Source organism: Homo sapiens, chromosome 16 (genome assembly GCF_000001405.40).
Source record: "Homo sapiens chromosome 16, GRCh38.p14 Primary Assembly".
Taxonomy (NCBI): domain Eukaryota; kingdom Metazoa; phylum Chordata; class Mammalia; order Primates; family Hominidae; genus Homo; species Homo sapiens.
In genome coordinates, this window is record NC_000016.10 from 75,693,444 (window position 1) to 75,706,912 (window position 13,469).

Sequence of the window (13,469 nt, forward strand, 5' to 3'; positions counted from 1 at the left end):
ACCTCACTTCCAATTTCTATATGTCAGAAATTGCCAAGTTGTACTTATTTATTTATTTATTTTTTTGAGACGGAGTCTCACTCTGTCACCAGGGTGGAGTGCAGTGGCGTGATCTCGGCTCACTGCTACCTCCGCCTCCCAGGTTCAAGCGATTCTCGTGCCTTAGCCTCCTGGGTAGCTGGGACTACAGGCGCGCGCCACCACGCCCAGCCAATTTTTGTATTTTTAGTAGAGGCAGGGTTTCACCATGTTGGCCAGGCTGGTCTCAAACTCCTGACCTCGTGATCTGCCCGCCTTGGCCTCCCAAAGTGCTGGGATTATAGGCGTGAGCCACTGCGCCCGGCCAAGTTGTACCTTTTACTGGAGAACTCTGCATTACAGGAGTTGACCTAAAGGCTTGAGGTTTCCACATATTGCTGGGACAATTAGCCAAGTGGATGACATGTTTCTCAGCTGAGTGTGCCTACTGCTGCCACAAGTCTGTCTCAGTGTGTCCCTTTGAGAGGGTCCCATTCAGCAAGCAGAGCCTGGCAGATCTCGTCCCACCTTTGCAAAATGTTCGATATGTCAAACTGACCCAGATTTAGAGGTTGTTGCTCCCTGTGCTCAGGTTCAGGCTGAGAATGGCTCTTGACCTGTGGTACTCCCGAGCCAGAGTGTTCTTTGTGATTTTGGTGTTCTTCTTGGTATTGGAGCCAGAAGGGAGTCGGAGTATCTAAGTCCTTTGTCAGAATTGGCAGTGTCAGGAGGTGATTCGGAATTATCAGAGGCTGATCAGACTTCTCTCCTTCCTGCACAGCCTGTGTGGGCTGCATGATCATGACATTTGGTCCTTGGCTCACATGGAACCTGAAGGGATCCCAAGGAGCCTGGGTTGAAGGAAGAACAGGTGGAAGAGTTTCATGCCCGCTGGAAGAATGTGAGCAAGAAAAATAATGAGAGCTGTCTGTGGGGAGGAACAGGTTGATTGGATGCCACCCAACAGTTGCATCTGGTCTCTCATTTGGGTCGTCTACCAATAAATTCATGGGCTCCATTCTGCTCTTCTTGAGGTACAGAGATCTTTGTTTCTGAAACCACATCTAAATGAGAAAAAGGGCAACATGACATCATAAGACATAAGCAATTGTAACTCTGCATCAGATACTCTATAAAACAAAGGAGCTATTAACCTAAGGACAAATCACAGGGTGATTTTATAGAGTTGGCTCTCTGAATCCATGGGTTCCATCTGTATACCCTGATTCAAACAACCATGGATTGAAAATATTTAGAAGAAAACCCAATAAAAAAACAATGCAACAATAAAAATAATACAAAGAAAAATACAGTTTAACAACTATTCACATAGCATTTACATTGTATTAGGTAGTACAATTAATTTAGAGAGGTTTTAAAATACATGAGATGTGCACAGGTTATATTCAAATGCTACATCATTTTATATCAGGAACTTGAGCATCCTTGGAGTTTGGTATTCAGGAGAAGGTCCTGGAACCAATCCCTCATGGATACTGAGGGATGACTGTATATGAAATCATGTATGTACATATGTTTGTTATTATTTATTTTATTACTTTTGTTTTTCTTTTTTATGTGAGTTTGAGAAAAAGAAATCTTATACATTTTGTATGTGAAATTAACTCCAGTCCATGTGTTCATGTGTGTATATATGTGTGTGTAATGTGTATGTTTGTATATATACATAAACACACAAATACATACATTGAGGTTATAACACAGTTAGCAATTAAGTATAGGTGAGTTGAATCTCTGACTGGAAAGGAACGTGTTCTCGAATTCTCCCTCTAACTGCAACAATGGATCAGCAAAAAAGATCTCTTGACCAGGCTGACATTTTTTTCCTCTTCACGGATGTGTGCATAAGAATTCGTAGTTTGTGTACATGTGTATTCATCTGATTAATGACTAACAAACACAAATAAATGTATTTGAGAGTTTGTGTCATAAGCCCATGCATGGCTGTGCCTCCTCAGTCATGAGCACTTAACATACGCTAAATCACTATCCCCATAACTTAGGTAAAAGAAAATACTCCTTGGGGGCCAATTTTGTCCCTCAGTGGGAGAACATTTGACTATGTCTGTGATTTATTTGGTTGTCACAAATAGGGGGGAGAGAATGTGGGCAGTTGCTTTACTGGTATCTAGATGGTAGAGGCCAGGAATGCTGACCAATATCCTACCATGCACAGGGTGGCCCCTCACAAGAAAGAATTATCTGAGCCAAAATGACAACACTCCCAAGGTTGTAGAAAATCTAACAATGTTCTCAAAATGGGTAGTTTCTGCTAGTGATTCCAAATCCGTGCACAGCAATTTGATTTGAAAATTCTTCCTTGACAAAAACGGGACTTTCAGTGCCAGGCGTTTACCATCCCCCGTTTCCGCCCTTGATGACTTTGATAACCCAAGTCAGCTGTAAGTTTTTCAATAACACCTCCAGGGGGCAGTATCACAGGCAGGACATAGTTGGGATCACACACATAGAACTTACTTGAATTCTTGATTCCTGCAGGCCTGTTTGTTCAGCCAGTTTTTTTCTGGTAGCAATATCAGGGAATGGGTTCCTCTCAAAGGCTTGCACTAGCCTGTTTTTTTGAGTCCATGTGATGAATGTCTGTTTTTGTCGGGCTTCTTTAGGTAAGTATTCTAAAGGAGAACACAGAAGCTGTTGGGGAATTTTCATATTCAAACCAGAAAAACAAACCCATGAAGATAATGCTGGCCATATTTGTTCTCTCTGAATCCCCGAGGTGGCAGAAGAGGTCATTGCTCTGCAGCAGGACCAAAAAGCCCAGAGCTAGGCTGGGCCCAGTGGCTTACGCCTGTAGTCCCAGCACTTCGGGAGGCCAAGGTAAGTGGATCACTTGAGGTTGGGAGTTCGAGGCCAGCCTGGCCAACTGGTGAAACCCCGTTTCTACTAAAAATACAAAAAATTAGCTGGGCGTGGTTGTGCACCTCTGTAGTTCCAGCTACTTGGGAGGCTGAGGCAGAAGAATCACTTGAATCAGGAGGCAGAGGTTGCAGTGAGCTGAGATCAGACCACTGCACTTCAGGCAACAGAGTGAGACTCCATCTCAAAACAAAATACAAAAATAAAAAATAAAAAAATAAAAAGCCCCGAGCTTGCTTGTTAAGAACCTGACTGTCTCATTCAATTGTGGGAGGCCGCTCTGCCTATGGAGTAGCCATTCTTTTGTTTATTTACTTCTATAACAAACTTACTTTCACCTAAAAAAAATGTAGGATAATGTTTCTATCTCTGGTCACCAGGATGCCAGAACCAGCTATCCCTGGCTTCTGAGCTAAGAGATGTTGATGCAGAATTTGGGCACAACGTACTCTCAATGGGACCCATTGAGCATTCTTACCTTGAGTCAGATGCTGGGACTGGTCATGCCCCTGGGTTTGATCTTTTTCTGAGAAGCACTTATAATCCAGTTTTCTCTGTTTTACTCTGTAATTTTTAAACCAAACCTAAGTAGGAGAAGAAGATGTGATAGTCATACAACTCAGTGTATGTCAATATTGCCAAATATCAATTCAATTGAACAAAACTGATTTGACTGCCTGTGGCTGGAATAATGCCCACAAGAGAAAGGCAATCCATTATCCTAGGAATGATGCTGCTATTGGCATATGATTCAGGACCACACACGCATCTCCCTTCAAATCAAAGGAGCTTTTCTTTCATGGTCATTTTTTGTGGCATCCAGAGTAAATTTGTTTGATTTAGGAGACCCTATGAGGTCTCTCAAAGGATCGCTCTCTGTCTCTCTCTTTCCCTCCCTCCTAGCAGGACTTCGGTTTCTGAATATCTTTTCTTGATCCTCAACACTTCTTCATAGGAAATATCAGGTTTCATAACATGCAATACATATGGAATTAATTGCACAAAAATTTCTTTAAATAGGAGAGCAGAATTAGCCACAGTAAAGAGTTGGACTAACACTTATCAGTATTTCCTCTTAGTCATTTTTGTCCCGGGGTTAACAATAGATGAGGAGACTCCTAGCAAGCCACACACCTCATTTTGTCACCGTTGTCCCTAACAAAACCAATTGAACTCTTTGCTTGTTTCCTCATTACTAGAGTCAGAATTGCAATATATTTTCTAATGATTTCTAAGTGTTATTATTTTGATAATTAGATCATTCTTAAGAACATTTAGCATCTTAATGACAACGAATATCCAATAAACCACTCTTATATCATAGGCATTGTGCTAAAGCTGGCGTCCTCAACCCCCGGGCCACAGGCAGTCCATGGCCTGTTAGGAACTGGGCTGCACAGCAGGAGGTGAGTGGAGGGCCAGTGAGCATTACCTGCCTAAGCTTCGCCTCCTGTCAGATCAGCTGCTGTGTTAGATTGTCATAGGAGCACAAACCCTACTGTGAACTGTGCAGTTGAGGGATCCAGGTTGTGAGCTCTTTATGAGAATCTAACTAATAGCTAATGCCTGATGACCGGTGGTGGAATAGTTTCATCCCAAAACCATTACCCACCCCCTCTTGTCTGTGGAAATATTGTCTTCCACAAAACTGGTCTCTGGTACCAAAAAAATTGGAGACCGCTATGCTAAAAGGTTATATCTCTTCTCTAAATTAATGAATCAGAATAGTTTTAGTTAAGAAATCTTAAGTACAGATGGAAACTGGAAACAAGTGAAAAAAGTATAAACACTATGGCAGAGGTAACCTCCAGCTACGTCATTTCCTGAACTTGTCATTTTCACCATGATTCCAAGTGGGACTGGTACCTCTCTCAAAGCCAATTACCAGTATTCCCATAGAATGTACTTTTGTTACTGGGACTTGAGTAATCCTTGCCTCTCACATCCAGTATAGATACATGAAGAGACAAGTAAAATTTCTTCTCTCCTATATCCTCTCAGACTGAGATCCTTATAGCCAATGGCTTGTTGGAGACTATACATATGATGCAAAACCCAGAACTCATTATTTTCCTCTAAAAACACATTTTCACTTGGTCTTCATTGGTTTAATTACTATTTTCTCTGATAGAATTATATTCTTTACAGGTATCTCTTTTTCTTTCTTTATTTGAGACAAAGTCTTGCTATGTTGTCCAGGTTGGAGTGCAGTGGCTATTCACAGGCATGATCCCACTACTGGTCAGCATGAGAGTTTTGATCTGCTTTGTTTCTGACCTGAGCTGGCTCACTCCTCCTTAGGCACCCTGGCGGTCCCCAGCTCTTGGGATGTCACCGTATTGATGCCAAACTTACTGCAGGCACTCAATCCACACAACACAGGCACAGTATAGCACAGAATGCCTGGGCTCAAACGATTCTCCTGCCTCAACCTCCTAAGTAGCTGGGAGTACAGGTGCACACCACCATGAGAAGGAATCACAGATAACTTCTTTTTTTTGGTAGACATGGTCTCGCTCTGTCTGCCAGGCTGAAGTGCAGTGGTGCAATCACGGCTTACTGCAGCCTTGACCTCCTGGGCTCAAATGATCCTTCCACCTAAGCCCCTGAGTAGCTGGGACTGCAGGTGTGGAACAACAAACCCAGCAAATTAAAATACATGTTTTTGGAGAGATGGGGTTTTACTGTGTTGTCCAGGCTGATCTTGAACTCCTGGCCTCAAGTGATCTTCCACTCTCAGCCTCTGAAAATGTTGGGATTACAGGTGTGGGTCACCCTACCCAGTCCAGGTATCTTTCTGATAACTGGAGAGATTTAACTTAAGTTTCATTTTATGTCAGTTATTCTATTTAAAATAATTCAGTATGGAATTTTATTTCAAACGCTATGTGTATGAATCACATTTGAGACATTAAATTAAGAAATAGCCTGAGACTTCGGAATGCACATGCATTCTTACCCCAGTTTCCTTGTAATTACATATTAATAATCGATCTGAATATTCTAATACTAAAATATAGGACATAATTATCATGGTGATTTCATTTCCTATATTCTCTAAATCTCAAAATATGACTTAATTACCTATTGGGAGAGACTGAGCCAGTATATTCTCCTTCCCCATTAGTGAATACAAATGATATTTCCACCTTTGGTAAAATACATAAACCGCATCCTTGTTTTTATTTGTTTTCTTTTCTTTTCTTTTTTTTTTTTTTGAGACGGAGTCTCGCTTTGTCTTCCATCCTGGAATGCAGTGGTGTGATCTCTGCTCACTGCAAGCTCCCCTCCCGGGTTCACGCCATTCTCCTGCCTCAGCCTCCAGAGTAGCTGGGACTACAGGCGACTGCCACCACGCCCGGCTAATTTTTTTTTGTATTTTTAGTAGAGAGAGGGTTTCACCATGTTAGCCAGGATGGTCTCCATCTCCTGACCTCGTCATCCGCCTGCCTTGGCCTCCCAAAGTGCTGGGATTACAGGCGTGAGCCACCGCGCCCAGCCTTTTTATTTGTTTTCTAATTTTGTAGAACAGGAAAACGTTTCTTAGCAAAATACCTGATATAACCTGATATAAGAGAATTGGCAAAAGCGCTGGGCCTAGTCTTTCTCTTTACCATGGTTCTGACAGGTAATGAAGTAGAAATCTAATGCCTACCTGAATATTAGATTCTGGAACCCCAATTTCTTTGGCCAGTTGTTCTCTGGCAGCTTTATCAGGGAAAGGGTCATGTTGAAACCATGATTGGAGGATATCCTTTTGACTCTGGTTATACTGAATTCTGTTTCTCCAGAATTCTTTTTGAAGTATGCCTGATGAACAGAAAAGGGGGAGAATAGTGTGAATAATATATTTATGGGTTTAAATCTGTACTTTGATTAAATTAATTTATTTTGAGACAGAGTCTCACTCTGTCGCCCAGATTGGAGTGCAGTGATGCAGTTTCGGGTCAATGCGACCTCCGCTCCTGGGTTCAAGCGATTCTTAAGCCTCAGCCTCCGGAATAGCTGGGACTACAGGTATGCACCACTGTGCCTGGCTATTTTTTTTTCTTTGTAGAGATGAGGTCTCATTATCTTGCCCAGGCTGGCCTCGAACTCCTGGGTTCAATTGATCCTCCTGTCCTGGCCTCCCCATTTTGTTAATTATTATTATTATTATTATTGTTACTATTTTTTGAGATGGAGTCTCGATCTGTTGCCTAGGCTGGAGTGCAGTGGTACCATGTCAGCTCACTGCAAGCTCTGCCTCCCGGGTTCACGCCATTCTCCCCGGTCAGCCTCCTAAGTAGCTGGGGTGCCACCACACCTGGCTAATTTTTTGTATTTTTTAGTAGAGACAGGGTTTCACCGTGTTAGCCAGGATGGTCTCGATCTCCTGACCTCGTGATCTGCCCACCTCGGCCTCCCAAAGTGCTGGGATTACAGGAGTGAGCCACCGCACCCGTACTGTTAATTATTACTCTGTATTTTTACTTTAGGCATAGAGCTAAAGTCATGCTAAATTGGGTATATAAACATTTAAATATATATATTAGAAAACGATAATCAATGACCTAAGTTTCCAAAGAGAGAACTTACGGAAAATGTACAAAATTACCAAAAGAGGAAGCAGTAGGGAGGAGGAAAATTAACAAAAATCAATGAAAAAAGTGAAACTCATGGAACAATTGAACAGGTGAAATAAGACACACAGGAACTGGTACTTCTAATGACAAAGAATATATCTCAGTAAAATTCAGTAGGCTGCATTAGACAGTTCATACATTCTCCCCTCCACATAAACTGTCAACTTTAAAACTTTAGGTAGATGACCCTTGTATGGGACTCATGGCTGCCATCTTACATTTCAAATTCAAGAGTCCAACTTCAAAGCACCCATGGCTGTTCTGACACAATTTATCAGCGAAAAACAGCTGCTGCTCTACCAGTCTGTACCTCTAATCATGTTTGTGCTATAAACTTTGACAAACTCTGAAAAATAAGCAAGACATGCAGCAATCCCAAAGAACAGAGAAAAGGCTGATGGGAACTTACCACCTGAAGTGCCCTCCAAATTCATCTTGGGCAGAAGACCTGGACTCCACGGAGATCAGCGAGTAACTGAGCAGCTCTCAAAGACACAGGCTTTATATAGGGTCAAGGTGACCCGCCCCTTTCTTAAATAGCTTTCAATTTAATCCCCTCATTAAATATTTAACACCTGTAGAAAGAAACTTGAAGTAATTAGATTAAGTGGAAGTACAGATTCTACGTGGTGATTTTGTCTTCTTCATAATACCTTTCTAAATATGACTCTTGTTTAATTATTTCAGTTTGGCCATATTAGTTTCTACATTATAAGAATGTCCTTACCTTACTTTGCATTTTTTGTTTTCCTCGGCTCTTCTGAAACTCATGTCTTTTCAGCATTGCGATGGTGCTATCTGTGTGTCAACTTGGCTGCTCTACGCTCCCTATTTTTTCAATAAAACACGAATCTAAGCATTGCGATGAAGGTATTTTGCAGACGTGATTGGGTTATATAATCAGTTGGCTTTCAGTAAATGAGATTATCCTGGATAATCTGGGTGGGTTATTTTCTATCAGTTAAAGGTCAATCAGTTAAAGAGCAAAGCTGAGGTTGCCCTGGAGGGTGGGGGTGGTGGAAATCACATCTTGGGAGGGTGGGGGTGGTGGAAATCACATCTAGCTGGGGGTGGTGACTCAAGCCTGGAATCCCAGCACTTTGGGAGGCTGAGGCAGCAGGATCGCTTGAGCCCAGGAGTTAAATTTCAGCCTGGGAAACGCAGGAAGACCTTATTTATGTAAAAATTTAAAAAAATTCCGTAAGTGCTCAGCTGCTTCATCTGCTGTTTTAGGAGTTTCCACCTGCTTTTCTGAAGGGCCTACCCTACAGAATTTATTCCTGCCTACCCAGACCCTACAATTATAGAAGTGAGTTTTGTATTGCTGTGGCCTGAATGTTTATGTAGCCTCAAAATTCATATGTCGAAATCTTCACCACCAAGGTAATGGTATTAGGAGGTGGGGCCTTTGGATAGTGACTAAGTCATGAGGGTGGAGTCCTCATGAAGGGGATTAGTGTCTTTATCAAAGAGAGCAGACAGGGAGGGAGAGAGGGAGATCCCTGTGATCCTTCTGCCACGTGAGGTTAGAGTGAGAAAATGACTGTCTACTAGGAAGTGGGTCCTCACCAGACACCTAACCTGATTGTACTTCCCAGTCTCCAGAACTATGAGAAATAAATTTCTGTTGTTGATAAGCTAGCCAGTCTATGGTATTTTGTTATAGCAGCCTGAATGGACTAAGGCATATATATGTCTTTATATATATATATGTACAAGTGTGTATGTGTATAGATACCTATATATTTATAATATAAACACACACAGGCATACACACATATATTATATATAGTTCACTAGTTAATAGCTGACCTCGGAACACTACTGATTGTTTCTCTGATGGAACCCTGAATGATACAGATGTTGATGTGCCCAAAATCATAATTACTGTCATGCGCATCCGTGTGAAGAGACCACCAAGCAGGCTTTGTGTGAGCAACAAGGCTGTTTATTTCACCTGGGTGCAGGTGGGCTGAGTCTGAAAAGAGAGTGAGCAAAGGGTGGTGGGATTATCGTTAGTTCTTATAGGTTTTGGGATAGGCGGTGGATTAGGAGAAATGTTTTGTGGGCAGGGGGTGGATCTCACAAAGTACATTCTCAAGGGTGGGGAGAATTACAAAGAACCTTCTTAAGGATGGGGGAGATTACAAAGTACATTGATCAGTTAGGGTGGGACAGAAACGAATCACAATGGTGGAATGTCATCAGTTAAGGCTATTTTCACTTGTTTTGTGGATCTTCAGTTGCTTCTGGCCATCTGGATGTATACGTGCAGGTCACAGGGGATATGATGGCTTAGCTTGGGCTCAGAGGCCTGACATTTACTGCTTTCTTTTGCATTAAATGAATAGTTTCTAATATAGCATTATTTTTCTTTTTTTAGAGACAGGGACTGGCTCTGTCACTGGAGCCTCAAACTCCAGGGCTAAAGTGATCCCCCTGCCTTGGCCTCTGAAAGTGCTGGGATTATAGGCATTAGCCACTATTTCTGGCCAACATTTTCTTTTTTTTTTTTTTGAGATGAAGTATGGCTCTGTGACTCAGGCTGGAGTGCAGTGACTCAGTCTCTGCCCACTGCAATCTCCATCTGCCAGGTTCAAGCGACTTTCCAGCCTCAGCCTTCCGAGTAGTTGGGATTACAGACTTGTGCCACCACACCAGGCTAATTTTTGTATTTTCAGTAGAGACGGGGTTTCACCATGATGGCCAAGCTGGTCTCGAACTCCTGGCCTCAGATGATACATCTGCTTCGGCCTCCCAAAGTGTTGGGATTACAGGTGTGAACCACCATGCCCAGCCTGGTCAACATTTTTATTAATGATTTTTTGCTGTATAGTTTGAGTGTTTAAAAGTGGTTTTGGCCAGGCCAAGGTACAGGGATTAAAGGACTGAGCCACTGTGCCCAGCCTTTTGCAGAATGATAATAAGAATAATCTAATATGACAGACTTCAACTTGCTTCTAACCTGACAGGCCCCCCCCCCCATCCTTTTTTTTTTTCCTTTTTCTAACACAGAGTTCTCATAGATAACCATGAAAAATATTTAGTTTATAATTAAACATGAGGCAAGAAAAACTGAGCCCTTCCACTTCTTGCCCCCGCCAATTCGGAGGTTAAAGCAACATTCATAAGACAAGGTTAAAATTATGGCAGGGACTTAAACTTTTCTTTTCTTTTCTTTTCTTTTTTTTTTGAGACGGAGTCTTGCTCTGTCGCCCAGGCTGGAGTGCAGTGGCGTGATCTCCGCTCACTGCAAGCTCTGCTGCCTCCTGGGTTCACGCCATTCTCCTGGCTCAGCCTCCTGAGTAGCTGGGACTACAGGTGCTCACCACCATGCCTGGCTAATTTTTTTGTATTTTTATTAGAGACAGGGTTTCACCATGTTTGCCAGGATGGTCTCAATATCCTGACCTCGTGATCCGCCTGCCTTAGCCTCCCAAAGTGCTGGGATTACAGGCGTGAGCCACCACGCCCGGCCTAATTTTCTAAAAAATAGGCATAGTTAACCAATAACCTGCCATCAATCAGCTTGTTTTTCTATAAGTGTTGAGTGCTCTGGAGTCACGTAGCCAGGGGTTACAAAATTTATAACTTCCCCAGCTACCCCTATAAATAGCATTGCAAATGTAAAACTCAAAGAATGAGTGTGTGAGATATTTTTCAGATTTGGCACTTTAGCAGATCAAAAGCCCCTCCTGGTCTGTGAGACCGCCCTCCCAGAAACTAACTCAGCTGCATAAAGACAGTTTTACACACCCCTGTGATTTCATCAATTGTTTCTCAGCACCCTGCCGGCCAAAATATCCTAAAAAGCCCTGGCCTCGGAATTATCAGGGAGATGGGTTTGAGAAGTTTCTCCTTGTTCTCACCTGGCTGGCCCTGTGATGATTAACCTCTTTCTTTGCTGTAATACCTGTTGTTCTCAGGGCATCTGGCTTTCTGGGCAGCAGGCAAGATAAACCCAACTGGTTATTACAATTTTACCTTAATTACCTCTTTGAAGGCCCTATCTCCAAACACCCTCACATTTGAAGGTACTAGGGGTTTGGACTTCAACATATGAATCGTATGAATGGGGGATTGGGCAGAATTCAGGCCATGACAGCCCTCCAAGGGTTAAATCCTGATTTTGACCCCTGAGCTTGAGTCCCTATTTCTGTCTCCTAAGGCTTTAGTGTCCACGTGACCAGGACTGGAACATGCCTTGTTGGATCCGGGACCTCAACCTTGAGGCTTCCCCTCCCTGGGTTTTTAGGCACTAGAAGTCTGAGGAGGACACAAGTAAAAGGGGCTTTTTGGGGCCTCTGGGCCTTCCTGTGAGCGATTGTCTTTGTGGAGGAAACTGGGATCTTGCTGCACGCAAGCCTGCGACATGACTCGCTCTTAACTAAGTCCTTGCTTAGCCTGAGTCCCAGGGCCTCAGGAATCCTTTGTGCAGTGTCAGGGCCTCCCTGAAACGTGCAGACGCCTTTTCACAGAGGCCCTCAGTGGCTAGGGGATGTGGGCACCTGCTGGCGGGAGCTGTCACGCACATCCGTGTGAAGAGACCACCAAACAGGCTTTGTGTGAGCAACAAGGCTGTTTATTTCACCTGGGTGCAGGCAGGCTGAGTCCAAAAAGAGAGTCAGCAAAGGGTGGTGGGATTATCATTAGTTCTTATAGGTTTTGGGATAGGTGGTGGAGTTAGGAGCAATGTTTTGTGGGCAGGGGGTGGATCTCACCAAGTACATTCTCAAGGGTGGGGAGAATTACAAAGAACCTTCTTAAGGATGGGGGAGATTACAAAGAACCTTCTTAAGGGTGGGAGAGATTACAAAGTACATTGATCAGTTAGGGTGGGGCAGAAACAAATCACAAGGGTGGAATATCATCAGTTAAGGTTATTTTCACTTCTTTTGTGGATCTTCAGTTGCTCCAGGCCATCTGGAGGTATACTTGCAGGTCACAGGGGATATGATGGCTTAGCTCGGGCTCAGAGGACTGACAGAAGCTGGGACACCTGAGCCACCTGGGAGAGGCCCAGGACCCTAAACAGACAGGCCCCCTGGCCCTCAGCAGCCCCCACTGCCCCAGAAAGTCATGCCCACAAGGAGCCTTGAGGTCACTATGGTCTTTCCTGCAGACATTGGTTGTTTGAGAGAACAAATATCTGGCAAACAATCAAGAACAGACATAGAAAGTCCAAATATGAAACATTACAAACAGTACGCTGCTACATATGCCCTAGGAATGAAAAAGTTAAGAGGATGTTGGAGTGATTTGATAATACATTTGAAGATTTAGATGAAATGGATATATTCTTAGAAAATTTCAACTTCCCAAAACTGATCTAAAGATAAACGGTTGTCTTCTAATTGTTTAAAGTACAGAATCAGTAGTTAACAATGTTTCCATGAAAATAATGTCAGAGCCAGGCAGAGTCACTTTAAATTTCAAGCATTTAATAAAGGAATAAATGAAGCCAATATCAGTCATGAACATAGATACCAAAATCTTAAACTACTGGCACCTCTAATCTAGAAATACATAAAAAGGGTATGTCATAAGCTAGTTGGATTTTTCTAAAATCACAATGTTTTAAAATAATCACATGAACAGATTATGGAAGAAAAATAATACCATCATCACAACAGATGAAAACATTTAAAAACTTAAAAATTCAGAGAGACTTTGGATTTTTGAGGGAAGAAGCTGAGAACAATAGAAATAAAAGGGAACCCCTTAAGCCCCTATTTGGTAATACATATTTGGAGATATACCTAATGTGAAGCTTGGAGATGTGGCAATGATGTTGTTTCTACCCCAATTTAGTATTTTACTGCAGTTCTCAGCCAAATAGTTAGGAAGAAAATCAAAGTAGAAGTATTGGAAATAAATAAGAATACTTTTATTGGCAGATGGTGTGATTGTGTGCATACAAAATCCAGT

The 13,469-nt window shown here is 42.6% G+C and overlaps 1 protein-coding gene and 1 pseudogene across 3 annotated transcripts; both read right to left on the reverse strand.

Moving 5' to 3' along the window:
- Positions 450 to 8,018, reverse strand: DUXB (double homeobox B). 3 transcript variants are annotated; one of them, NM_001351307.2, is made up of 5 exons: positions 7,951 to 8,018; positions 6,572 to 6,726; positions 3,395 to 3,500; positions 2,518 to 2,672; positions 450 to 1,082 (listed from the first exon to the last, which is right to left on the reverse strand). In NM_001351307.2, the coding sequence occupies exons 1-5, from the start codon at positions 7,973 to 7,975 to the stop codon at positions 486 to 488; spliced, it is 1,038 nt and encodes a 345-aa protein (NP_001338236.1). In that variant the 5' UTR covers positions 7,976 to 8,018; the 3' UTR covers positions 450 to 485. The 3 variants fall into 3 exon arrangements, with proteins under 3 accessions (NP_001338236.1, NP_001338238.1, NP_001338237.1); NM_001351309.2 differs by lacking the exon at positions 6,572 to 6,726; NM_001351308.2 differs by lacking the exons at positions 3,395 to 3,500; positions 6,572 to 6,726.
- RN7SL520P (RNA, 7SL, cytoplasmic 520, pseudogene) lies at positions 5,088 to 5,373 on the reverse strand (annotated as a pseudogene).

Bases quoted from the DNA above. Each gene is read 5' to 3' on its own strand.
- DUXB (NM_001351307.2), bottom strand. From the start codon at position 7,975: ATGAATTTGGAGGGCACTTCAGGTG. The intron at 6,727-7,950 runs GTAAGTTCCCAT...TCTGTTCATCAG, and splicing joins TTTGGAGGGCACTTCAGGTG to GCATACTTCAAAAAGAATTC. The intron at 1,083-2,517 runs GTAAGTTCTATG...TTTCTCATTTAG, and splicing joins TGCAGGAATCAAGAATTCAA to ATGTGGTTTCAGAAACAAAG.